The following is a 27,348-nucleotide window of genomic DNA, read 5'->3' on the forward strand; positions in this document are numbered from 1 at the left end:
ATAGCAGATGTATGTTCCTATCACATTTCACAGGATTTTAAAAATTAAAATGTAAATCAATACATAGGATTTGTTTGAATATTTTTTCTTTTCTATGTCCTTAGCATAGCCTTTGTTATCCTGGAACTTCAAGTGTGATGCATAAATTTAAATCATCAGAATATTTCAATTTTTATAATTAAATAAATCTTACTATGTCAATTTTCAGGTATTAAAGCAAAGTGACAATCTGGGATTTTAAAATAGGATAGACTACTGTGTGAAAAATTTTCTCTTCTCCCTTTTGTTGTTGGTCGTAGTTGTTCTACAAAACTACAGAATTTTGCTTCCTATGTGTCATAATTCTTATAGCTATATTATCTTGCTTGCCAATAACATTACAATGTAACAGCAGTTTTCACTAGGTAGTCTTACACAATCTATTAAATTTTTAAAGTCGAAAACTTGGCATTGGAAATTATTGCCTCTCTAAAACAGAATGTCAGATTCATCCATGATGTGGAAACTATTACAATTCCATTTATATAAAGGATGCCAGTTTTGGAAATAATCACCCACCTGTTACCTCCATGCAGGTATTGAATACTAGTTTTAGAATCTTAACATTCCCAGTGCTCTTGAAGCAACAGGAGTAGAATACATTTGCTGGAGTGTACCATTTCTATCACCTTCTGCGTCCTTCCCACTTAACCAAGAAGTAAGTCAAAGCAAGGCAAGTGAAGAATGTTCTACTAAATTATTAGTGAATTATAAAGCTTTCACTTGGTTGTGGTCCTATTATTTTTACTAAAGACTACTTTTATGGCAAAAGAGTCAGGTTAAAAAACATAACTAAAAATATATTTTGGTTAATTTCCTCTTTAGCAATCTTTGATTCAAGAGTAGAGAGGAAAGCCGTCATAAACTGACATAGATATCAAACAGGCAAAACTGATGTTTACTGTATGAATACTGTGAGGAAGGGAATGATTGTTTTAATAGTTGGCTCTTTCTAAACATATGCCTCAACATATAAATATAAGAACATAATATAAAATAATAAACTTCTTTGATAATAATTAATTATTGGATGCCTAGAGACAAAAATAAAATATTAGTGAAGAAACTTTAGACAGATATCAAAGTAAGTAACAGGCAATGGTGCCTCTAAGAGTAAAGCATGTCGCACTATAACTAGTCCTCCAAAAGAATCTCATGCCCAAGAAAAAAGATTTAAAGAAGAAATATAAAAACATCCTTACATATGTAAAGTTGAAGAGAACAATTCATGCAATAAATATTGCAACCAGGAAGGAACAATTTTTGAGTCAAACAATGATGTAGAAAAGCTAGTTCCCAAAATGCATGGGATTTAAATATATGCTCCAACTCTCACAATTTAAATATAATACAATAGAGACAAAGGAGAAAATAAAACTAGTACAAAAGTTATGATGGTAAAAAACAAAGTCTGTTTTTGTGAAAGATAATTTTATATAGTAAAAAATTATTATATTAATATTTTGGAAGCAAACCTCAATGATATCTTGAACACTTCTCATTGTTTTATGCCCCGAAGAAAACTGTGAGTTTGTGAAGATAGGAGTTTATGTATGAATTGTGGTGACATACCTTGAGGAGGTGAAAATGCTTAGGAGAAATAAATGTAACAGAATTGTACACTATAGGCTGTCTTATTTTTTTCTTCCTTTTTGAAAGTAAGAGACCTGAAACAATGCATCCATGAATTTTCAGAAATACAAGCAAGTCTTCAAGATACATTTCAAATTCTAAGACAGATTTTAAAAGGACAAGCTAAAGGAAATTAGAACATTAACATAGGACAGGTTTAATGCCACAAAATTAAATCAAATGATAAATTGGAGAATATCATGGGAGAACTAGAACTCAATGTATTATAAGAAAAGATTACAGGAGGATAAAAAAGAGATAAAATTTAAGACATTAATGATTTACCTAATAAAAATAAAATAATATACCAAATAATGTTTTAAATGTGAGAAAATATTAGGTCAATTAATATTCTATTGTAAATCCATCTAATTTAAAACAGCCAACATTTATTAAGTTTCTACCCCTAGAATGCACTACATAAGATTCAACGGAGATATAGAATTGCTAAGAACACAGACATTGACCTTTCATATTTCTCTGTTACATGAGGGAGATCGAATATGCATAAATTACTTGAATACAAAGCAGGTTATGTCAAGAATTATAATTCATATACAAATGAAATTTAATGTAGGTGTGAGGAAGGGAGAGTTTAATTTTAACTAGAGAGCATTTAGATTATCTAGAGAGGAGAGGTAGTATTTTTGCAAGATGAATATTCTGCACATATCTTTTAAACTAGGAACAGTTTAGTGCAAACCAATGAATATTTGAGAAATGTAAGGAATCTTCTAATAAGACTGAGCCGTGATTTTTGCAGCGTGGCAGTAAAATATATAGTTGGAGTGGGTAGTAAGAGTCCAACTGTGACGTGTATTGAATACCAGAAAGATGTGGTTAAGTCAAAAAAGAACCTAAAGTCTATTTCAGGAATAGCATAAATAGAATAAGAAAGCAAAATAAACGGGCATACACATACATGCAATAACAATGATAAAAATACGGGAGATGAAAAATACCCACATTCTATCATAACTTATAAATTCTAATGTGTTCAGAATCACTGGTTCCTCCACATGCTGTCTGTACTACTGAGCCACTACGTAGTCTAAGATTATATATCGGAAGCAGTTTCCTCTGCAGACTAACATCAGCCCCCAGAAATTATTAGCAGATTTAGACTTGTTTCAAGAACAATAACAGGAGTGAAACAGAGGTAAAAATGTATCAATGGTCAAAGAAGAATGACAGTAATTTTAAATAGAACTTTTCGGTTAATATTAAATACATCTGAAACTTTCCAACAGGGGACAAACTTAACTGGAGAAATTTAGCCAATTCTAGACTTACAGAGAATCACAGTAGTACCATAGCTTCTGCACCTGCAAGAGATTTGGGGCCATCGTGATAAATATGGAGTTCATTGGATGGGAGGTAAAACAGAATTTATGTATATTAATACATAATATTTGTACATATTTAAAGGGTATATGTGATATTTGTATACACTTGTTTTTTTTGGTTTGTTTTTTTTTTTTTTTGACAGGGTCTCACTGTCGCCAAGGCTGGAGTGCAGTGGCGTGATCTTGGCTCACTGCAAACTCCGCCTCCTGGATTCAATTGATTCTCCTGCCTCAGCCTCTGAGTAGATGGGATTACAGGCACTCACCACCACGCCTGGATAATTTTTGTATTTTTAGTAGAGACAGGCTTTCACCATGTCGGCCAAGCTGGTCTCAAACTCCTGGCCTCAGGTAATCTACCTGCCTTGGCCTCCCAAAGTGCTGGGATTACAGGCGTGAACCACTGTGCCCGGCCTACACTTGTCTTTTTAGTTTACTACACGGAGGCATAATATATATTTACTCCAACATCATCTGGTGATTTTTGAAGGACTAGTCTGCATAAAAAGCTCTGCTTGGTGTTGGGGGCAGATTTAGAAAGGGCTATTGATAAAAAGATGGTGCATATTAGAGTCCTTGGGTCTGGAGTGCAGCTTTTCCTCATGCTCTCAATTCTTTACTTGGGAAGCACCAGTACACTATTCAAATCATAATTTTATCAGGAATTCAATCTATTCTTTCTCAGAGAAGTTCACCATTGTTGTCTAATTCCCATAGTGCCTTTTATCTCCTTTATAATAGTGTTTATGAGAATATATTAGAATTATTTTTTTGCCAACTTTTTTTTTTAACCATTAGAATGAATTCTGAATTCTTTGATGGCATGTAGAGATCATCATTTAACTATTTATAACTCATTCAATCACACTAATCTAATGGTAGCCTTAAAAAGCAGAGGCTCTTTAAATGGTTATTGAAGTAAAAATGTCACAAATATCTAATTAAAACTTAAAATTTACATTCTTATATTTCAAACAACATCCAAAGAAAGTAATTTGAAACTAACAAAAGCAGTAGTGATTAAGAAGTAAAGTATAAATTGAAGATCTCAAATAATATTATGAAACATAAAATACAAAAATTATCAAGACAGGAGTTTGCAACAAATGGGCAATATTAAAATAGCTCTCAACTTACATAAACATTTTTTAAAAACATTTACATACTGGGTGATGTAGATATACTTAGTAAATGAAAAGCCTTGCCCCACATCATATCAAACAAAACACAATGTTTTCAAATTAGAAATAACAAAAAATATATAATTGTCAAATAAAATGAATTCTCATATGCACTTACTAAATGAAGGAGGAGATTCAGAACCAAAACAAAAATGATTATATAATTTTTCAACATGCTGAATTAATAATATTTTCTCAATGAGTACTTAAAAAAAATGTTATACATACGATAGTAAGACAGATAAAAAAATACAAACACAGTGGAATGCCCCTCCTTAAATTTTGGAAGGCAGCAAAGGAAACAAAATAGAAGTAGTAAAACTAAATAGAAATAAAATTAGAAAAAATGCTTAATATTTATGTCTACAATTTTATTCCTAGAAAAAACATTAAAATAATTCTTAGACTATGGGTTAAAACAAAAATAAAATACGTCTATATACATATATGTATATGTAATATAAAGTAAGAAATATTAATTAGGCCAGGCGGGGTGGCTCATGCCTGTAATCCCAGCATTTCGGGAGGCGGAGGCGGATGGATCACCTGAGGTCAGGAGTTGAGGACCACCCTGGCCAACATGGTGAAACCTCATCTCTACTAAAAAATAAAAAAATTAGCAGGGCTTGGTGTCAGGCACCTGCAATTACAGCTGCTTGGGAGGCTGAGACAGGGAGAAGTTCCTGAACCCAGCAGGCGGAGGTTGTAGTAGCTGAGATCGCCCCATTGCACTCCAATGAGATTCCGTTTAAAAAAAAAAAAGAAATGTAAATTATAATACGATGATGACTTGTATAAATATTAGCAAATCATTCAAAGAAATACTACTGATAGAAATAAATATAACTGACATTATAAAACCTAAACCTGATGCAGAAAATAATTAGAAAAAAACACGAAGAATACATAAGAAGATAATTTAAACAAATATGCTTTTCATATTCCAAATTTCTGAGACCAAAAGGAAAAAAAATTACAATGAATCCAGAGTTAAAATGATCAAAATATTGGCAAATAGAACACAATCACATATGAAAGGAATTGCCAACCAGGGTTAAGCAGGGTTTGTCCCAAGATAATTGCACTGTGATTGGGGTGACAATGAATATTAGTTTCTTTTCCTGCCCTGAAGATGAGCAAAGAAATGAAGAAGCAGACAAATTAAAAATGCCTAATGACTTTTCTTATGGACAAAAGTGTTTTCACAAGCTCTTTGAAGAAAAATTAACTATAATAAAAGTTGAAACAATAGATAGGGCACAGATTTTATAAATTAGAAATATCTGTGCTTAAAAATCCAACTAATAAGAATGCATATACTTCATGTTTACATTGTATTTATTCACTTTATAAAATTTTGTCAACTGTGTTTTTTTGGGACTCAGAAAACGATACCCTGAAAGTTTGGCACTTTGGTATACTGAATACTTTGAACTGAAATAGGTAGGCCTCAGAAATAGGATTCGGAACCAAGGTCTCCTTCTGCCCTTCCCATCCTCCTCTTCCCCTAGCCATCCTCTATTTTTCACCAAGCACAAGGAAGGACTTTTTCTGGAATTTTCTTATCTGACTAATAAAATTTCTTTCCAAAAGGAATGCAACTGATGTAATACCCAGGAAACAGCCAGGAAAGATCTATCAAATACCATGGAAAGATTAACCACTAATGAAGACAAGAGAATAAAAACCACACTCTGATAGAATTTTATCCATTTGCCCAAGGACAGGTTTGAGTGATTACTGGGAAACATTATCTGAATAATAAGACAACTTTATTTTACAGCAAAGTTCTGTCCCTCACCTTGCTACCACCTCCCCAAGAGCTCAGAGGAAATTTCTCCCAGGTCATTGTATTCTGGAACTCACTTATCTCCCCCTGTAAATCGTTTACTAATCCTAAAATTAACTACTGCCACTGTCCCCCTTCTCATTTCCCTGTCCTCTATGAAGAGGGTATTTAAGCCTCAACCATCTGGCTTTTCTTTGAGTCTCTTTTTGTGGTGCTTCCTTCATGTCCATATGCACAGTAGAAAATTCTACGCGTTTTTCCTCTGTTAATCTCTTTATTGACAGTCATTTCAGAGCACCTTCAAAGAGGAAGGAAGAAAAGCTTTCCCTCTGCTCCTACACATTAAATTTGGGGTTTAAAAAGTACATGATGCATGTGTAGCAAATCTGCCGCTTTTATCTCAACATTCTTCTTAGAGAGCTTGCTGATCTCGCAAAGATCACTTGATTCAAACTTGACCTCATTTGTTTGTATCTTACAGTTATTTAAGTGAAAGTCAATCAATATGGTATTCCTCTGTAAGTCTGAAATAAAACAAACAGAGACTGTGTGTTGCAGTAAAGTTTTGGGGCCATGTAGAATTTCATGGAAAGGTAGTACCATGGAGGCAACACAATATCACCCTCAAGTTAAGGTAGTGATGGGGTAGAAACAAGACCCTATCCTAGGGAGCTGGCTTGTAGATGTGAAAGACGAAAACATGCAAAACAAACAAAGAAACAAACAACAAAACCACTGGAAAAGTGACAGTGTGACCCACAGAGTGTAAGAGAGAGACGAAAAAAAATGTTTTTTGGCTTCTTAGGCTATTTTTTCACCTTAAATTGAGTTTTTAATTATTTGTTTTAAACTTGACAGATAACATTGTATTTAGGTATCAGCTACAACATGATACTTTAAAGTGTAGATTATCCCTTATTCAAACTGCTTGGAATGAGAAGTGTTTTAGATCTCAAATTTTTTAAAAAATTTTGAATATGTGCATATACACAATGAAATATCTTGGGGAAGGAACCCAAGTCTAAACAAAAAATGTACTTATGTTTCATATACATAATATATAAATAGCCTGAATATAATTGTTTAATATATATAGCCTGAATGTAATTTTATATATGTTTTTAATAATTTGGTTTATGAAAATAATTTTTGACTGCATTTCGACTGTAATTCATCACATAAGGTCAGATATGAAATTTTCCACTTGTGGAATCATGTCAGACCTCAAAAAGTGTCACATTCTTGAGTATTTTGAATTTCAAATTTTCACAGGGTTGCTCAACCTGATATACACATTACAGAATGATGAAATCTAACTAATTAACAATTGCCTAACCTCACATATTATCATTCTTGGCTGGTGTACCTCTTATAGATAGCTTCTCTGAGATTCTCTTTTGTGCTAACAGTAAACAAGCTGACTTGACAGCCTCTCCACTGCATTTTAGGCAAGCAGTCCATGTTATGATATTGCTGTTATATGTAAATTGTCAGTGATACTTTGAAATTGAGTTGTAATTTAAGGAGGAAAAACAAAGTGAGTTGAAAGGCAGCACAGAGATATATTGTTTATGGTTGTTTCTTTGTATAATATAGCTTTGTCAAGTGTAAAAAGACCACTTTCTTCTTTGTTATGTCAAATACATAAAAAAAGAAGAATCTTAAATGCTGATGTTGGGATATTGATGAAACCAAATCAGCATGTAATGCAAATTACCTCACATGAATTAGTATAAGATTTAAATAGGTCGTCTTTATGTTATGTGTTATGGAGATTGTTGAAAATTCACCCTGAAACACTTGGAAGTGCTTTCCTTTAGTTGTATAAAGTTAAGTAAATCAATGCATGTTACTCAAAGCCATTTTTTCTCCAGCTTCAAAATGTACTAATTTCATTGAAATTATCAAAGCAGAAAAAATAGAAATTCACATAGATATGGAAGTGCATAGTTCTGATCTTACATTAACAGTCAAGATTTTGAGATTTAGTAATAGGAAAAAAACCTTTACTATTTGTTGTGTTAATAGACATTAAATCTGGTTTCTTACACAATAAGTAATTATTAGCTCACCAAGAAATGTGACTTACAGAATGTGAAAGGGAATAAGGAGGTACTTTTGTAGTTCTGAAGTAATCTGTTGGTACAAATATCAGAATAACATGAATCATCAAAATAATATACTTGGCAGGAATGAGAAAAATGTGAAATACGTGATGATATTTGATGACTTTCCAAACTTTGTAAGGATAGATCATTCTACCAAACTCCTATGTAGCAAAATTAGCATTGATGAAATGACAGTATTTTCCCCATTATGTCTTCATTTATGACTCTTAACCTCACAGATTAAAATCATAACAAAACATAATGTACTTATTGAAAAACTATACTTCATCAACACACATCTCCAGTAAAGATAACAATAACAAATGGAAAAAATTACTAAATCTGTTATATTTATATTTAGCTAATTTTCTTGCTTTTTTTAGGTGTTGACCTTGATAAGTTAGCTCAGTCTTCTTTCATGTGAATCATGAAATAAGGGACAGAGATTTGAATTTAAATTGAAAGTATTAAGAAGCCAAGGAGGAGTTCTGAGACAAGAGCAAACATTAAAAAAAAAAGTGTAAGAGCACAGTTTGGTGATCACAAATGATTATATTATTGTACAAACACTATTAAAGAAATACATGTGGGATCTTCATTAATACTGGATAAACTAGTTAATATCAGTTGGCTGAACAGATGGGAGTCAATAAACATTTTAATTGGAAATTACAAGAGAAAATTACATTAGGTTAAATTGCAAAAATGATGCCTTTCATTGGAAAGTTACAAACAGCATCTGTAGAATGTTATATTTACCTGTGATAAGGTAATGATACAATATATATGATATATAAATAAAGGTGGTGTCAACTACACTGATATTTACACGGGAAGAAAATCCCATTGAAGAGCTAAACAATTTTACAATAATCAGATTATTTTGGTATTATATACACAGAAAGCCTGCTTCAAATAGATGATGACTTCCTGTAGGATAGGCACTAGAGCTTCATCCCTATATTCTCAAAGTCTAGGCAAGAGTCTGATACATACTGGTTCTCAATAAATAATTGATAGCTGAAGGAATGTCTCAAAGAGTTCTAGAACTGATAAGTAACCCACTGGTTGTTTTGCAGAAATAAAACTTACTGATCACTGTATCCTTCACAACTTAAATTATGTCAATCCCATAATATTCACTTCAAAATAATACTATTCTAATACATAAAGCATAATATTCTAAATTTTACTTTAATCAAAAGAAAATTATATAAAAAATTAATTTGATATTTACATGAAATAGCAAATGATAAACTTAATATGTCTAACATCTTCCAATTTCTTTTTAGGCCTTTGTGAAATTGCTTTTGAAAGCATTACATAATTAGAATATAAAGTCTTTCTAAAATAGGAAATTTTTAATAATTTTTGTGAAGATGGGGAAAATAGGTAGTAATCTTCAAATTATTGAAAAATGGCTAATTTCTAAGAACTCACAAATTGGCAATATATAAAAAATAAGGTCAAAATGTCATTTCTGATATCTACTTGTTAATATATTAATGAAGACCCTCAAGCTAACACAGATATTAAAGGTTTTCTAGCACTTTTCTAGAAAATGGATCTTAAAAGTTTCTGTCTGACCTCCTTTAAAAAGATTAAACAAATAAAAGAGTACTCAAGTACTAGCAGGATTTAAAGACGAAAGTTTTTTAAAAGGCTGTAAAAAGAGCGTTGAACATGAATTCAATACAGGTAATTATGAGCCTGTCAGCATTTCTATTACAAACTTCATTTAGAGGTTTTATCATTTCCATAATCTTAAAAACTAGGAAGCCGAAAGTTGGCACACAAATTAGCAGCCTGGATGCAAATTTATTTACACAAAACATTTGAATCAGTTCAGCTGTTTTGATTTATGCATCAGCCAAAATATCTTAACTCCAGATTTCTCCATATATGTGAACACTGAGTAAATATTTTGTCTAGAGTACATAGTTAGGTCACTTAGAGTATGGAATCAATAAATTCAAGGTAGAGTATGTATCGTCTCCAAAAGAGTCAGCTGTATTTTTTTTGCCAGTTTTTCTAACTTTGATCCCTTATCTTGCATATGCAGCCTTTAGCAACACAGAGTTCAATATTAGAAAATGCAGGTAGCTCAGCATAAATTCATTACTAACATTTAGTTGAGATTAAAATTATACTTCTGATAATGGATTCAGAGAAGCCATTTCTGCATAATGAAAATATAGTTTAAAGATGAAAACTAAATCACTTCTAAAAATTACAAATTAGCTTAATTTAAAGCTTATATTTTTAAAATTATTGACTAAGTGGATAAACTTCATTGTGGGTGTATCCATTATGTGGTACATTATGTGTTATTTTAAGAGAAAATAAAATAAGAATATATTTTCCTCAAATATCCTTCAAATAAGATAACTCCCATAATGTAAACAAGCAAAAAAGATAAGAAGATTAAAAAAACAAAACAGCCCCATAGAAAGCTAAAATATATATTTGAGAAATTATAATAATATCAAATAACAAAACACAGCTGTAAGTTTTATTAAGTAGCTATCAAAGAAGAAACAAATGGCTAATAGGAATGTGAACTAGTTTGGGAAAAGTTGTTTTGATTATCTACCTCTCCCTAAGATCATGAAAATGAAATGTCAAGTGAATTTGTGATTTTAAATCTCAATAAAATCAAATAAATACTAACAACAATTGGATGCATTCTAAAATGGAAAACCTGGCTGATGGCTGATCATAAGTTTTCAACAATAAATAAAATTTTGGAATGAACAATTGTAGAAAACAGACTTGGAGACAAATCGTAAATGTACCTTTATCTGGGACTTGACCAACCTTGGAGAAATCTACATCTACCTGTTGTAAGATCATATATCAAAACTATTTAAAATAAGAATGGCCTATGAAGAAGTATTAAATGCAATAAGTATATCCTATGACTAATACAAATGAGGACATTATTAGGATAACTTATCTTTAAAATTAAAAAGACAGGTTAAAATAAAATTTCTGAAAATATAACAACAAATAAAGCTTTAATAATGCATGTAGAAAAAGGCTAGTTTATATTGGGAGAGTCTATAAAGTTTAGAAATGACAAAAGTAATATAGTTACATATGAAAATATATTTTATCATATACACAAGAAAATGTAATGCTAAATTTGAGCACTTAAGTATAATTTAATAAAAACATTTTTTCTTTCATAGACTGATGTATATCTATATTCCCCCCAGTTAATCCTTAAGTTAATCTTTAGATTGCATGTGAAGTTTCCCATTTGCCTATATTAATATACTCATGTATCTGTGTCTCCTTACACAATTACTTCAAAAAGTCTAGTCTTAATTCTGATCAGGATTTTGGGGTAGGCACAGTGGTCTCTCCATTCAATGAGCTTTACTCTCATAAACCAATTATGTCTAAAAAAAAAAAAAAGAGGCTCATAAAATAGTATCAAATACAAGAAAAGTACACTGGACAGGTAAAGACTGGTTTTCACTCTCTAGCTTGGCAAGTCATTTCATTTCTCTGGCCTGTCCCCTCTTTTATGTGAAGATACACAGCTACCCCTGTATTTTTAACTAAAGGACACTTATGGACTGAAATAGACTTTGTGAATGGAACTTGGATATGCATATTTTAATTTTGAAAAATATGTATTTGCCCCTACAAATAAATCTAATGCACATTTCCTGCCTAGTAAACACTAGATTGGGGACACTCTGAGAACTTCCATATCCTTTAAATTCTGTAGAGCTGAGTGGAAGGTTAAGATACCAAGTAAAACAATTTTATTTTTCAATGCTTATGATACAATTTTATCATTTTATATGTGAAGTTCATAAATTTATCTGCATTCACAAATTTTAAATTTTACTCAAGAGCCTCCATTAGGAGCTAAGGGTTATAATGTTTACCTCTGTTTTATCTTACTTAATGTGCTAGTTTTATATTTTATAGTGTCATATTTAACATATGTATTACCTGTGCATTTACTTTGCTTACTATCGCTTATAAAAGTAGAAAGTATCTTTTATATCTATTGTACAGACCATTTAGAGAACAAAATTAGTCAAGTTAAGTGAAAGATGTTGAAAATTACAAAACCAATTAAGTTATGTGTTACTCCAACTGTGGGATATCTATCTATCTATCTATCTATCTATCTATCTATCTATCTATCTATCTATCTATCTTTCTGTCTAATCACGACTATTGATCTTAAGCTTTCTTCTAAATTAAATTTTCAGGGCCTCAATGTTTCTCTTAAAAATGAAGAGGTTTAATTGGTAACTTAGTCATTTACATTTTTCTTTTAGATTTTGGTAAGTCTATGGCTTATGAATCTATTATCCTTTCAGATTTCACTTAACCACTAGCTAACTGTATGATCCTGGCAAATCATTGAACTCTGGACTCAGAAAAATGTGTATTACTCGAAAATGGAGATAACAATCTCTATATAGGAGTTAATAGCTATCTCAAAGATACTTATTAGAATTCAATACAGGAAGAAAAGGGAGAAAAGAACTGTTTGAGATGTAAAGGACACTTTAGTTAAGGGCTTATCATAAAGCATCACACATGAAAAGACACAACAAAGAATTTTATCCCGGTACCATTTCCCAAAACATAAGAATGTCTCGTATCCTCTCTACATAGTAAATAACTCTGATCATTCTGGAGTCAATCAGATAAACTTGTATAACAGAAAACTATGGCAAAAGCCCTTGCTTTTTTAGTTATTTGGGATAAAATAAGTCTACTTTTATAGAGTCTGTTTCCATTTACAAACTTCCTCTCAAAGTGGTATTTAATCATATTTTTTAATGTCATAGTTAAAAAATCCTCCCTATTATTTTAAACTCATGATCATTAACATTCCTTTAAAAATTGCTAACATCAAGCAAAGAAAATCTTCATAATCTTAAACATTATGAACTTAGCTTTTTAAGGGAATCACTCATGACTATTTATATATTTCAATCATTTTCTGAACATTTCAACTCCTCAAAGAGTAGAATTTCTTAACTTTGCAAATTTTACTCCCATATCATAAAATGACTTTAAAACATTTCAACTATCACTAAAATTGATAACGTATGGATGTTCTTATACCATTAATATTTATAAAATGTATTATTGTTTCTTATAGAATTTTGAATAATTGTCTTATATATATATATCATGTGAAAAAATATGCAGATGAAAATGTAACTAGAGAGAATACATAAATCTCATGTAAATATGACTTAAACATAATAAAACCCATGAAAAAAAGAAACATTTCTCTAGATTTAAAAGCTTTTAAGTAAGAAATTGTCTACAGATTATAAGAAATAAATAAAAATTTGATGTTAAGTACTGCCCCTCAATGCTCTTTTGAGACATGAAAAAGTCAACACACTGATTTTATTTACAGACTTGTAATGTCAAGAAATAAACTTTACTGAAGATACAATTAGTTTATTTGAAGTACACATTATATCAGAAAAGTTTTTCACTCCATAATTATCTCCTTTTGTCTTCTACCAAATAAGTAATTATCATTTTTAAAATTTTACCACAAGCATATAATTACTAATACTAATTGATATATAGTACTGAAATATTAATTTTTCTGATTGACTATCTTCATTGGTGCCATCTGAGCTAACTTTCTAATAAAATTGATAAGGTAAAGTAGAAAAAGAATTGAACATGAGCTTGAATGCCCTGTCATCTAGTCTGAGTTCTGGAATTAATGGTCTTTGAAAACTACCAAAAATTACTTATCCTTTCTTGGCATTTGCGCTTATTGTAAAATACATGAGCAGTGAACTAGCTGATATTTAAGGACCTATGAATGTCATGATTTGTGACAAGATGAATGAACAAATTCATGTTAGTACATTAATCAATCCCTATTAAAAGAAATCAATATCAGAATGCAGGGGATGAAATCAGCACAGGAGGAGAGGTAGCATTTTTTTCTTTTTAGCTGTGAGTCTGCCCCTTATTCATATAGCCAGCACCAGAAGTGAATGTGTAAAAGTGATAAGCAGCAGTTTCACAGTGTTTCTCAGCTGTATAATGGCCTGGGAACTTAGCCAAAGTGAAATAATAGCTAGTGAGAAGAGGCTACACTTTTTATTTACTGCTATGGAAAAGTGAAGGTGGTGGTGTTAGAGATAAAGTGCGAGTTCATACAGGCTTTGCATGTGCATGTTTATTTGAATAATATTGGCAATAGCTACTAGTGCCAAGCACTGGGCTAGGTACGTAATTTATGTCATCTCCCTATAAACCCCCGATATTGTCATGTATTTTTTTTTTTACAGATAATAAAACTGAAGCTTAGGAAAGTTGAATTGCTAGTCCAAAGATAATTGTTGCCAAAAATCATTATTTGACCTTCAGTGGCTCCAGAGCCCTTGCTCTTTCCACTTTACTGTAGGGTCGCTCAAATTTTAGAGTGCAATCTGGACTTACCTGGATGACTTGTTTAAACCATCAGTGTCTGTGCCCAACTCCCAAAGCATCTGATTCAACAGACCTTATCTGGGAAACTGAGGTATTTTTATTGCTAAAAAGTTTTTAGAGGATGCTGGTACTACTTGTTGGAGAACACTTTGAAAATCACTGTAGTCCAAACATTTAAGGGCCTGAACTGAATAATGTGATGATATCTAATGCCACATAATCACCATTGTTATTTTCCGTCCAAGCACAGGTATATAATACATATGTTAATGTAAATTTAGACATTTTAAAGATTTCAAATTAGGTTGCCGGCAACGAATTATCACTATATAGAAAATATTAATCATTAGGATTCCTTAACCAGCACCAAACAACAGCTTAGCAAAGCAACTTAAGACATGAAATATATTTGATGGCTGCAAGTCTGGGGCCTTAAGAGAAGGAAAGGTGATCATCAGCATTGTGGCTGTGAATACCAGCAGGTCTTCAACAAATTGATTTTTCTCTGTGATACTTTTAAAAGCGATGTCCCTGAAGAGAATAAGAGCCTCACAAGGGGCCCAATTCTGAGAAAACCTTGCAGGCATGGAGGTAGGTATACCTGGAAATACCGTGAATCACCCACCTGCTCACTCTGAGAGCAGAAAGATGAATTTGGCAACCGCAGTGTCTGTAATGGCACCATTCTCATACTCATCCAAAGTCCAAATCAATATTTCCACTGTATTCTAAATTATATACTCCTTTGGATGATGAGTAAAGGGAACAGAAGAAAGAGATAGGGAAAAATAGCTAAAGCTATGTTTTAATGTACATGTAAATAAACTAAAGTGTTCTTAGATTTTACTTGTATCTTACACATTTTTTCTTAATCTGTCATTTACAACCATTTTATTTCTAATTTCCCAAATCTTGGAATTCAAAGTACAAGATGGCGTATTTTCTCAAAAGGTCATGTTGCCTAAAGGTACTGGTGCCTTACCAGGCGTATGCTTGGTGCTTTAAAATAGACAAAATATTGAAGGTATTTTATATCCTTAAGCCATTTCGGAAGCCCCTGATAAGTAAGTAGAAGAGAAACACCCTTTGGAACACATGAAGAAGTATATTTGGAGGCTAAGGAAGTAAACTTTAGTTCCCTCCACTTTTTTGCATTTGAGATCTTAGAAAAGCGTTTTAAGGTCAGAGTTTTTTTTTTTCCGCACATGAGTACAAAGGCATTATTAACTGCACACCTCTCCTACTTTTTTTGTTTATCAGCTTTCACTTATGATAGAGTTTTACTGTACTTAGAATCATGCACAGATGACATTTGGTGTCTATTTGTTATTTCACTGTTTTGTAGACACCAAATTTTGTGTTTAGGGAAAAGACGCGTATACTCCAAATTAATTCAGCTACCCTACAAATAGAAATGCTAATTAATATCATGAAGGGTAATAACTACTGGAACGAAGCCTTTGCTCCTGGAGTACTTAATTTATTGAGTAATTCTACTCTTTTTCTCCTTGAAGGATCTCAAGGGAGCTGGCATCAGGTTTTCAAGATGCCGAAACCTTCTCCTTAATTATTTCTGCTCACATACTCTTCCAATGAGGGCGTGATGCAGCACCCGCCTCCTCCCCAACCAGATGATTCCGGAAAGTACGGTGCTGCAAAAGGACATTTCAGAGCGCTTTCAACAAGCTAACTGTCCAGTGAAGTTCAGCTCCGAATTCTGGTAACCGTTCAAGCCCTGTCAGTCCGGTAAATTGGGTTAACTTAGCAACTCGGTGGTGCAAAGCCTCCCCAAAGACAAGACCGCATTCAGGGAGAAGAGAACCAGCCTCATGCCTGAGCCGATCTTTCTTCCTTTGGTTGTCCTCCTTCATTATTATTCTGCAATGCGCAGCAATCCCTGTGCGTGCCCCTGTGTCAGCCCCTTAGCTGGTCACTCCAGCGGGGCTGGGAGAAGACCACTTTGGCTACTCAGATGGCACTATGCTGTTTAATTTCTTCTGCTCTCTCCCTCAGAGTCTAACTAAGCCCTTGCAGCACTTGAGCCGGGGGCTGCCCTCCTGCTGGCCTTTCCGTCGTCGTTGAACGGATCTGGGGGACGGGGACGTTGCAGAGGAGCCACAATCCCCACTCGTTGTTTCCCCAATGTGCTTTCCGAACTCCCCGAGTGCGTCTTAGATAAGTTATTTGAGTGAGGACAGCGCTGCGGTCCGCCTGGAGAAAGGGAGCTTCCTCCGCACTTCTACTTCATCGTGACAGCAGTGGTCGCAGCGCCACTGGCCATCTGGAGTCCTGGGAACATTAAAGCGCTGTTACCCGCCAGGCGTTTCCGCCTAGGACACACTCACACCCACCCTCGGAGACTCCTAAAGGTTTCTCCGTGTCAATTCATGTGTCCTCCTCCCAGCAGCACACACGCACACACGCACATCAACAGCCAAGTCAGCCACCCAGTTTCAACTTCGGGTTGTCCATGAAAATTCAGGGAGGCTGATCTTCTTGAAGAAATTAATGAGTATTCCCACAGGAAATAGATGTAAGGGAGGGGCGCCTGTCCAAACTACAGCAGGAGGGGGCCCTGACTCAAATACAAAGGTTACCTTTCAGTGGGTTTCTCAGTCTTGCTAGTGTTGGGGGAAGGGTTTTGATAATGGTTTTGTCTAGGTGGGTTTTTGTTTGCTGTTATTATTTTGAAAAGACATTGATTTCCCTTCCCTCAGCCCCCTTTGTAAAGCTCTCTCAAGCTGAGACAGATATTTTCCTGATGTGTTGGGAAAGACTGTCGCCTTATGGGCGAGGACTGTGGGTGTCAGTCCCCGGGACACACGCGGGGCTGAAAGCTCCGGACATGGCCACCTGGGCGGGCGTCTGTAAAAGGTGCTAATGAGTGCCTCTGGCAGCTCTTCCCCCTCATAAGACACCCGCGCCCCTCTCCAGTAGCAACTAACTGCGGGAGAGGATGCGATTTCCACTTTTCCAAAAGACCTCTGTGGCAGGAGTAGTATCTCCTTGGAGTCTCAGAGCACGCAGAAACGTGGATCCTTCGCGAAGTCGCTCTGGCGAGAATCCCTGGAAAGACGCTCTGGCGTGGGGTGCGCGACGCCGCACCCGGTCTCCCACCTGCTGCCTACCCAGAGATCTGTGCCTTCGCGGTACCTTCGCTGCACGGTGTGTGTTCCCCTGGGATCCACTGACAAGCAGCGTGGGAAAACATCCCATGGATGTCTCTTTACATGGGCGGGACGCTTAAGCACGACTTGGAGATTCACAGTTTCTATCTGGGTGAGACCTAAACAGACACGCTGCAGCTGGAGGCATTTCAGAAACCTCTGCCTGTGTGTGTGTGTGCGTGTGTACCTGTGTGGGGGGTGCGGGGGAGGGGAGTTCAGTTTGAAATAGGCATGGATCAAGTCTAGGCAGCACCTGCCCTGTCCCACGCCTCAGTTTGGTGCTCTCCACAGCCTTTTATTTCACATGACAGTGGAAATGAAATGCCAAGGAAAGGTTGTTTTCCTTTTCAGCCCCACCCGAGTGGTTCAGGCCTACCTAAGACCACTTTATCTTACACTCCGAGGCGTTTCCTCCCACTAAGCCTCTTTGTCATTGCTGTTGAACGCAAAGGTGAGATGGTGGAGGGATGAAAACTGTAGGCAGATGGTGTAATTCTCGTGGCTAGAGCTGTTCACGTGGAAAACTGCCTGCCTCGGACTTCCTGGACCCTCACGCTAGTCTAGATTAGAACCTGCAAAATCCTTACAACGGCTCCCCAGTCTGAGGTTTTTCATGGACCTCACATTCCAGAAGAAAGTGTAGAAGACAAAAGCGAGCATAGACATTGGGGCAAACAATGTTTAAGGCATTGCATCAATCTTGGCTTTAGGAAAGCCTTGAGACAGGTGAAATTAAAATAAAATGAGGAAAGGGAGAGTAAAAAGCAACTATCAAAATTGGCATCATTCGGAGATTGACAGCAGGTCTAAAACATAAAACCTATGCAAATTTCTCAGAATTTGGGGACAGTATTCCAAGTCGTAAAATGTAGGAGATGCCTTCCAAGTGCCCGATGAGTGACAATAACTTTATTGACATTGAAAAAAAATGTTTTTTACGTATAGTCTGTAGAATATTGATTTTGCACAGGATCAAAGAAGGCTATGACATACTCTTCCTTCTCAATATCTCCAAAGCTAAACCGATTATATCAGTCCAAAGTAAATTAACGCGCCTTTCCTTTCTATCGGCGCATCTCATTCGGAAAATACGGTAGGTGCGGGCAGCCGGGGCTCTAATTGCAGGCGGCGCGGATCAGCGTTAGTCAGGCTGTAATGCTCGCCCCGCTTCGGAGACTTCCCTCCCCCTCATCTGCCCCCGAATGTGTTTTGGCTCAACAGGTATCACATGAAAACTCGCACTTAAACCCTGGTCATCTTCTCACAGGAGCCACCCTTACATTTTTCTGCCAGGGCTGCTGCTGGCTATTCGCGCCTCCCCCACGCGAAGCGCGCGTCTAGCAGGCAGCCCCAGGGCCATCCATTAACCACCAACTCCCAGTGGCAGGCGAACTAAGCATAAATGTGTGGCTCCTCACCCGTCGAGCCAGCGACAAAGAAACCTTGTAAGCAACCTGAGCCGTGCTTTGTACATTTGGCAGTGTAGTTGTGCCACTTAGGACAAGCTTTTCGGCTCAGAGCTGCTCTGAGGCCCCAGAGAGAAAAGAAAAATCAAGCTTCAAGGAGCAGGTTGGGATTACAAGGCAGTTGCTGCCACAGAGACCGGGGCGACTGACTTCCTGGCATTTTGGGATGTAAATTAAAATTCTAGACATGCCACCCATCATTGGTTATAGTAGAGGGAAAGGTAACCTCTCCAGCTCCCTCCTCCCAAAACATGAATTATCATTTCCACTGAATGCAAATGAGCTGCCTTCCGTGGGGGGACAGCCAGCTGCAAGCTGGACAATAAACTGTTTCATAGAGACGCGGCCCGATTGCAGTTCAGAGAGGCACTCCTTTACAAAGGAAGAAGCGTCCAGTTTGTGTTGACAGCCCTGGCGCGCCTGGGCCAAAACAGCACCCCCTTTCCCGCGATCCCCCGCCCCCCCGCGACACACAGACACCCGGGATTTGAAACTAGCTTCACTGAAAGCGGCATCCATAGCGTCTATTCGAGCTGCCATGAGTATGGAGAGGTGATTGTTCAAAAAATGATGGCATGAGTCATAAACACCTCCTGAGTATTCTTTGCAGCAATTAATGGGCAGCAGGGTGCCGGAGAAGTTGTGGAAGAGAGCTATGGATCTATTTTCTCCCTAAGGACAGCTCTTTTTCCCATGATCCTGACTGTCCCTTGCCTTCCTGCTTGGGAATACATTTTTACATCCCACCTACCCCCTCCCCTATCTGTGCATGTGACACTCACTCTACCTGTCTGAACGCTGAGACTTGCTGGGGATTTTCTTTTGGTCGTCAGCTAATGACTTTCCTCCTACCTCATTCATCCCTTAAGGTGGTTCTTTACACTTCATGGCATTTCAGACCCTTCGAAAGCCTCATTTTTTGCCAAACCTCTACCACAGGTCCTAGGGAAGCTCCCCTACATTTAACATTGCATAGAAGCCCAATTTACATACATATGCATGCAGACATTCATGTTGATGTGGCAGTGCTTGGAAGATCCCTGTGCCCTAATGCATTTAAAATCAACACATTCCTAGCACGTCGATAACTTTCTTCCCTGAAAGGGTTAAAAAGCATTTAGACCAGCGTCTTTAATATATATATTCCACCCAAAGCCTCAAGCCCTAGTGATCTGACAAGAAATCAAGGTAATCCTCACCACTAAGAAAAGTCTTGCAGAGGAATTCTGCCTGGATATCCACTAGTTAGAGGCTATACTAACCAACTCACGTATTCGTTTGAGCATACTGCAAGAATATTTATTGAGCACAAGCTCAATCACCGCATTGAACGCCAAATCTGGCAAGCAAAATGCATTTCCTATCTGAGGGGGGGAGAACGAGCTGTGAATCAACTCCTTTAGTATTATCAGATTATTTTATCGGTGCAAATTGCAAAGTAAGCTGCCAGCCTCTCTCCATCTACAAGTCAGCCCACCTCCATCCAAAGCGGAGGGGACCCCCAAAGCAGACCTACCTTTCACACAAGACACCGTCAATAAAAAGACGAGGTTCCAAAACGTAAATCCACTTTTAATCCCCATTTTCTTCATCAGGATGAAGTCTAGGCGGCCACATTTAGCGCATCTTCGCTTGCCAGGCTCCCAGGGTTTGGATTCCTTTGCTCGGCTTTCCCCTTTGCGGATCCCTTTCATATTATTCGCGAGCTCCTAATTCCTGCTCCTCAGCCCGGCGCAGTGGAGTTGTTGCTGTTGTTGGTGCGCGGTCACAGCTCGGAGTGAATGGTGTTTCTGGGATACCACAGCAACCTTGACGAGGACTCAACCATCTCTCCAACGGGGGCACAAAGTCTCCGCTACTCTGGATTCTGTCTTTTCTTGTGCGTTTTTTCCCCTCCACCAAAATCTACCCCAATTCTGGCTCGTTATAGCAACCACCAGAAACCACTAGTGAGCCTCTTAAAGCCCACCTCTGCTCTCTGATAAACTCCACACAATATTTGAAATTAAGGGGCTTGCTTTTTTTCCCCGAATAGATCAATTCTGCCTGTAAAAGCAGCCCAAGAAATAATGTTAGTGAGCTCTCCGTTGCAGGCTGCGAATACAGAAGCATGTCAAAGGAATATTTTAATCGGAGGATCTGTGTTGCTTTTGGGGAAACCGTGACGATAATGAATCGGGCTCCATCGATGCCCACGTCGTTATAATGGGACATGTGTTACTACTGTAGTTGCAGTATATTTCAGGCAGGCTTCTCCCATTTATTATCCTGTGATTTAATTGAAAAAGGAAATCACAGAGAATTTTCTCAATAAATTCTGCCTTCACACGGAAAAGAATGTATTTGAACACATGTATTTACATACTCAAATAACTACGTGTAAACCCTTCACCGGGTTTTTATGATTCGGGAAACGGATTTCATCCGTGGCCTGGGCGGGGGTGGGGTGGGGAGGGAAGTCAATGTCGTTTCCTCAAATAGTTCTCCCTTTCATCCTCCCAACCCCCTTTTCAGTTTGTGTGTGCCGCAGTTAAACTACTTTATCTGTGGTAGTTATCTAGAACAAACCCATTTGTCTTAATTCTGAATCGGTACCAAATATGTAAATAGGAGGTTTCTTTCAAAACGAAAAATGTATGTATCTATACATCTGGATCTGCTTCCCCCATGCACCACGCAAGGGTTAAGATTGCACAAGGGAAGAGTTCTTGCGCCATCTACTGGCCGTCTCCGAGCCGCCCGTTCTTCCTTCGCATGTATAAGGGACCCTGTTTTTGCCATCCCTTGGTGTCAGGGGAGCTGTGTCCCCGGGACCAGTATGTCGTGCTCCTTGATTTTTTTCGACCACGGTCCTGGCCCAAATCTTTCAATGAACAAGTTCCTTAGATTAGGCAACTGATTGGTGATCTGACCTTTTCGGGAATCTGGTCCCCTCTCAGCAGTGGGGAGTGCCACAGCGCTAGTTCTGAAACAGGATATTGCTGTTGCGTGTGGCTCCATTTAACTGCCTCAGGCTATCATGGGCGTGAGCGTCTATCAACAAGGCTTAGTCTAGAGGACTGCCCAACTTGAGTTTGCAGCTCCCTGCACTGTGCACAAATAATGGGTTTGGTCCCGTGCACCACAGCATTACCCTGGCCAGCTTTGTCCCTTGGCTCGCGTTGGAGCTGCCCGCTCAGCAGAGGAAGGCGTTAGAATCTGGAAGGAGTTCCGCTCTGGGAAGTGGGCACACTGCGAGTGTCCATAGGTTTGAGTGGCGAGTGAGTTCAATCTGCAGGCGTAGGAAGGCTTCTGATCTCTCGGGGTACGTGGCATTGTGTGTGGGCCTGTGATTCTCCCAGTTCGTGTGTGTGTGTGTGTGTGTGTGTGTGTGTCTGCGCGCGCGAGAGCATAAACGCGCTGTAGTGAGAGGTAAGTGTGCGTGTTTATGAAAGATACAAAGAGTGATTTGCCATGCGTAGGTGTTTTCCCAAGTGTATTTTTGCAGTACATATGCGTGTGCACGCCTGTGTGTGTTTGTGTGTTAGAGAGGGATTTCTGTCCTGGGTAGGGAGCTGTAGCAAAAGGTAAAAGCTGTAGACGCCCAGCTGACCTCATTAAATTCAGAGAGATACTTTAAGAGCCCTCAGGCAGAACATTGTCCCTTCTTTTCAGTGCTCTCTTTCATTGTCTGCATATGCAGGTTTCGAAGGGGAGTGGGCAACAAGGTAGGGACTAGACAGAGACTGGGAGGATCAACATGGAAAACGACATTAGCCTGCTAAGCCACCTTGGCAGCTGCTCTGGCATTGATTTCAGTCAAGATGTCAGCGTGTGGTGTTGCTGCTGTTGCCTTTGCTGGGCTGGACAACCAGTTAGAGATGTAAACAGGCCCTTGGACTTAATGAGGATGCTCAGCAAAAATCCTCCTTACCAAGTGTGCAGAGGTTAGTCACCTCAACTGAATTTACTTCTTATTAAAAGAAACAAAAATATTGGGTTTTATGCAATCTATTTGAACACATAACACATGGCTATACATCCAGACAGGAGGACTTCATGCCAAAAAAGCAAACAAACAAACCCCCCCGCAAAAAACCCTTTCTCAAAAGACAGGGTATTTTAACAGTAATTATTGTGCACAAAGTAAGTAAATTTTGATTAAAAGACCATAAAGATTACTAGTAAGATACCAATTTCTGATATTTATTTTCAAACACATGGCTAATCCTGTAATCCAATTATCTTTCCCTAAATGAATCCTGCCTATCATTTCATGTGAGATTGTTAAAAGATTTATCTGGAATCTCATAATATATTGAACAATACTATAATATCTAGTTTCTACAGCTCACAATAAATCACAAACCATTTTCACCTGTGTCTTCCAGCTTCTGAGACAGGATGGAAAATAATATTTCACAGACGGAAAAAGTTAAGGCATGAGGAGCTAAAGAGGTTTATCCAAAGTCACTATCAGGAACTTTGGTGTTTAGTCCAATGTGTTTAGGGCTAGATCTCACTAGTCTTTCTTGATGAACAGTATCCTCTTTAAGGAAAGATTTCCAAAGGTATTCCAGAAACACAAAATTTTCAGCCACAATCCTGGGTGAGAATCCTTTAGTTTCTCCAGAAGGGGTGGGGGCGGGGGAGGGAACATAGTGTCTACATTTGGGAGAAAGAAATTATCTCTTGTTGCTAATCTGTAGGAAAGCAACACAGCTATACATTCATTTGTGTGAGACTATTAGAAAGAGATTATGGAAAAATAGCTAACATAATAGCAAACTTCAGGTGCTTATTGTACATTAGGCATTGTGCTATGTTTACATAAGATATATTATTCAATCCTCACTACTTTCTGAGACAAGCTCTACAGCTTTCTGAGACAAGCATAACAACTATCCTAGTTTTACAGATGAAAAAAAAATTGATACACATAGAAGTTAACTGTCTTGCCTTGCCTGAAGTAACACATGTAAGAAGTATGAACCTATGGCACCTGATTTCAGAGTTAATATGCTTCCCTAATGTCCTATATTTTATGCTAGCTCCTACAGATGCTTGTTTTGAAATAGTCTAGTAACAAAAAGAATGAATCATTTTTACAGTACACATGATACATAATTATAGAAAAGCAATAATTTATAGTTTATAAGTGATAAAATTTTAGAATATATATGTACACATATAAATAAAAAACTTTTGTCCTTTTTATACTTATCAGTTACGAAAATTCCTCCTCTTTTTAAAAATTTTTATTTACTTCTTGCAGCCTATTGATCTTCCTACATATAGGTCGTGGTAAAACGTGACTTGGCAAGGATCATCAAGACACAATGATTAAGTACCCTTAAGAGCTTTTAAAAAGAGGTTAAATCAGAAATGCACAAGCTCTTTAAACTAGAAGTACTAGATTTCCATTCCTTTCCAGTTCCTTCCCCAAATACCTATGGAATACAATTAACTTTGATCTTAAAACAGGGCTGAATTGCACTAAAAAAGATAAAATAAGCCCCTCTCCAAAAATTGCCCAGTATTAGACTAGCCCCTTCAACATGTATTTACTATGTTTTGTCACCACAGGAGCAATATCAAAGATAAATGAACAAAATAATCAAAACAAAATGAGTACACTGAGAAAACACAACACAAAAATGTGGGAAGTGCGTTACCTTTAACTTTGGAAAGAAGCATATACTTTTGACAGCTATAAACTTAGTGTTTTTTTTTAATTTATATAATGGATATAAAGGTTTACATGGGGATTCTTGCTCAAGTGAAGTAATTTTTTTATAGAAATGTTCCTGCCTATTAAAACTAAATGTTCATTGACTGTAGACACACACACAGACACACAGACACACACACACACACACACACACACATTCTCACATGTATTTAATTAAAAGGCTGAAAATCAAATCTGTGGGTCTGTGGGAAAAAACTAGTTAGAGTAAGATAAAATGTTAATGATTACAAATAACCAAGCAGACATTTTCCTGCTCATTTGCAGTTTTTACATATAATTCACTGCCAGGAGAGTAGGGGGAAAAGAGGAATTCATTTTTCTCATTTTTCAATAAATGCTCATTCTTGGATCTGTCATGTCTGATCTCTCCAACTCCTGCGAAATAAAATATTTGAATTTAAATGTTGAATCTAGAATAATGAGGGGATTCTAATTTAAGTATATGCATTACCTTGATTTATAAATGTCCTTATTTGTTGAGGAAAAAGGAAAGTAAGAGACCTAGTATTCATGTTAAAGTAATTTTCTTTAAAACAGCAATATTTAAGAAGATAAATTATCAAGCCGATAGAAGGATCTGTCCTTCCTGTTGTAAATCAGGAACCATTGTAGAGAGGTGGAGACAGGCCTGTTGGAAGAGTCCTAAGTGTGCTTTCCTAGGAATTCATTTTTCTTATGTCCTGACTCCTCTTGCAATTTCATTAATACTGAAGCTTAACAGGCATTTCAATGTTTTTAAGCTTATAACAACATTAAGAACATCAGACTGAAGTTTATATGTCAAATAAAGGTAGTAACGTTGTATTACAAGAGAACAGAAAAGCCTTAAAACTGGACACAGAATCTATTGCTCTATCCATACAGACGAACTGTATTAACTGACTACAAAAAACACTTATTTTTATGTGAGCCACAAATATAATAATTTTGCCCACTTTCAAATTTTCTCAACTGCTTCATTCTTAAACATGGAAAATTTAAAATTACATATATTAAATAGTTTAAGATGAACCATATATGAGCTCTGTTTCCTGAAAGGAGGGAATCATGGTAAATAATTGGGGGGCATTTGGGTAATTACCCTGAAAGAGAGCAGATAAGAAGAATAGAGAGATTCTTTAAAGATTTCTCTGTTTGTCTTGAGTGTGTTTCACTCTCTTGCTCACCTGGGACTGATATTAAGTAACCTGTCTTTGCATAGAAGAACAAAAATAAAGAGTTAAGCAAAAGGTAGCTTTGCTAAATAATCAAGATAATTCGGGTCTCTGTGTTTCATCAGTAATAAAGTTGTGTCATTGACATTATCTGAATAAACCTCAATTCCTGGTATAGCAGATCTTTTTTTCATCATTCTTTAAACTCACATACACTGTATAGTTATGTAGTATCAGTTTCAAATGTCCTTAAGAATACATAAATAGCCAAGTGCAGTGGCTCACGCCTGTAATCCCAATACATTGGGAGGCCGAGGCAGGCAGATCACCTGAGGTCAGGAATTCAAGACTAGCCTGGCCAACACGGTGAAACCCCATCTATACTAAAAATACGAAAATTACCCGGTGTGGTGGCACACACTTGAAATCCCAGCTACTCTGGAGGCTGAGGCAGGAGAATCGCTTGAACCTGGAGGCAGATGTGGTGGTGAGCCGAGATCTGAGCAACAGAGTGAGATCCCGTCTCAAAACAAAACAAAACAAAACAAACCCCATGAATACTTAGAGAATATAAATCAAAAATGTTGATTTTATAAGATATAAAATATATCAAGATTATTATCAAAATGTAGTATATATTTGATTTCATATCCAGAGGTTATTCATATCCATCCAATTAGTTCATTATTATCTTTTAACAATTTGGTACTGTCTTTATTATCTACATATTCTCTGCTAATCTTTAAAATTAATGAAAAATTTTTTAGATAAATGCATATTTTTAAATATGCACAATAAAACCATTAATACTTTTTATTCTGTAGATTTTTAGTCCATTCTAAATTAGGTAGTATGTGTAGGACCTTCTTTCTATTTTGTTTCATTTATCCACTTAAGAATCAGTTTTTTGTAATTTTGTTAACTGAGAAATCTAAATATCTGCAATAAACAATTTACAACTGAAAGTCAATTCTAGAAACATGCAAGCTTAGTTCTTAAATTATATTTGATCATAATCCCAGAGCCCCAACATAGCAAAACACAGCCCACAGGTAGAAGGCAAGAACATTTCACCTGTGCTTGCAATCTCCTTTCACTCATAGTAGACTGCTTTGCTGGTGATAAAGCAGAATTCACTAACTTTTTGTAACTTTTAATTGTGATGTTAATTTTCCTAAATGTTTACAAACTCTTGAATGAAAGGAACCATTGAAAATAATTTGGTTGGATGCTTCACAAATTTAAAGATTTTTATTCACATACATGTGTATTGTACTTGGTTAAAAGC

At 36.5% G+C, this 27,348-nt stretch overlaps 1 protein-coding gene and 1 long non-coding RNA gene across 9 annotated transcripts in view, besides 7 other annotated features; one reads left to right on the forward strand and one right to left on the reverse strand.

The window, feature by feature from the left end:
* The window catches only part of CSMD3 (CUB and Sushi multiple domains 3), a 1,214,012-nt gene extending 1,193,058 nt beyond the window's left edge, over window positions 1-20,954 (reverse strand). For all 8 annotated transcript variants that reach the window (NM_001363185.1, XM_017013010.2, NM_052900.3 and 5 more), the window contains exon 1: window positions 20,692-20,954. In NM_001363185.1, the coding sequence (NP_001350114.1) occupies window positions 20,692-20,869 (178 nt within the window). In that variant the 5' untranslated portion in view covers window positions 20,870-20,954. The remainder of the gene's footprint in view (window positions 1-20,691) is intronic.
* Window positions 16,095-17,294: an enhancer, noted in NCBI's record as "BRD4-independent group 4 enhancer chr8:114444309-114445508 (GRCh37/hg19 assembly coordinates)". NCBI's record gives its function as "activates an origin of replication core promoter dependent on BRD2, P300/CBP, MED14 and CDK7 cofactors, and independent of BRD4, by STARR-seq in HCT116 cells {active_cell/tissue: HCT116}" and the evidence as "EXISTENCE:reporter gene assay evidence [ECO:0000049][PMID:35650434]".
* Window positions 16,095-17,608: a biological region, named in NCBI's record as "BRD4-independent group 4 enhancer GRCh37_chr8:114444309-114445508".
* Window positions 16,202-17,145, forward strand: LOC105375709 (uncharacterized). Its single transcript, XR_928544.3, has 2 exons — window positions 16,202-16,441; window positions 16,556-17,145. It is a non-coding gene; the product is annotated as an uncharacterized LOC105375709 (long non-coding RNA).
* Window positions 16,601-17,104: an enhancer, noted in NCBI's record as "H3K4me1 hESC enhancer chr8:114444815-114445318 (GRCh37/hg19 assembly coordinates)". NCBI's record gives its function as "activates a minimal SCP1, AML or CMV promoter by ChIP-STARR-seq in naive H9 embryonic stem cells {active_cell/tissue: H9 hESC(naive)}" and the evidence as "EXISTENCE:reporter gene assay evidence [ECO:0000049][PMID:30033119]".
* Window positions 17,105-17,608: an enhancer, noted in NCBI's record as "H3K4me1 hESC enhancer chr8:114445319-114445822 (GRCh37/hg19 assembly coordinates)". NCBI's record gives its function as "activates a minimal SCP1, AML or CMV promoter by ChIP-STARR-seq in naive H9 embryonic stem cells {active_cell/tissue: H9 hESC(naive)}" and the evidence as "EXISTENCE:reporter gene assay evidence [ECO:0000049][PMID:30033119]".
* Window positions 19,538-20,048: an enhancer, noted in NCBI's record as "NANOG hESC enhancer chr8:114447752-114448262 (GRCh37/hg19 assembly coordinates)". NCBI's record gives its function as "activates a minimal SCP1, AML or CMV promoter by ChIP-STARR-seq in primed H9 embryonic stem cells {active_cell/tissue: H9 hESC(primed)}" and the evidence as "EXISTENCE:reporter gene assay evidence [ECO:0000049][PMID:30033119]".
* Window positions 21,826-21,875: an enhancer, noted in NCBI's record as "active region_27818". NCBI's record gives its function as "activates an Ori minimal core promoter by ATAC-STARR-seq in GM12878 lymphoblastoid cells {active_cell/tissue: GM12878}" and the evidence as "EXISTENCE:reporter gene assay evidence [ECO:0000049][PMID:35858748]".
* Window positions 21,888-22,388: an enhancer, noted in NCBI's record as "H3K4me1 hESC enhancer chr8:114450102-114450602 (GRCh37/hg19 assembly coordinates)". NCBI's record gives its function as "activates a minimal SCP1, AML or CMV promoter by ChIP-STARR-seq in naive H9 embryonic stem cells {active_cell/tissue: H9 hESC(naive)}" and the evidence as "EXISTENCE:reporter gene assay evidence [ECO:0000049][PMID:30033119]".

This window comes from Homo sapiens, chromosome 8 (assembly GCF_000001405.40).
Source record: "Homo sapiens chromosome 8, GRCh38.p14 Primary Assembly".
Lineage (NCBI taxonomy): Eukaryota > Metazoa > Chordata > Mammalia > Primates > Hominidae > Homo > Homo sapiens.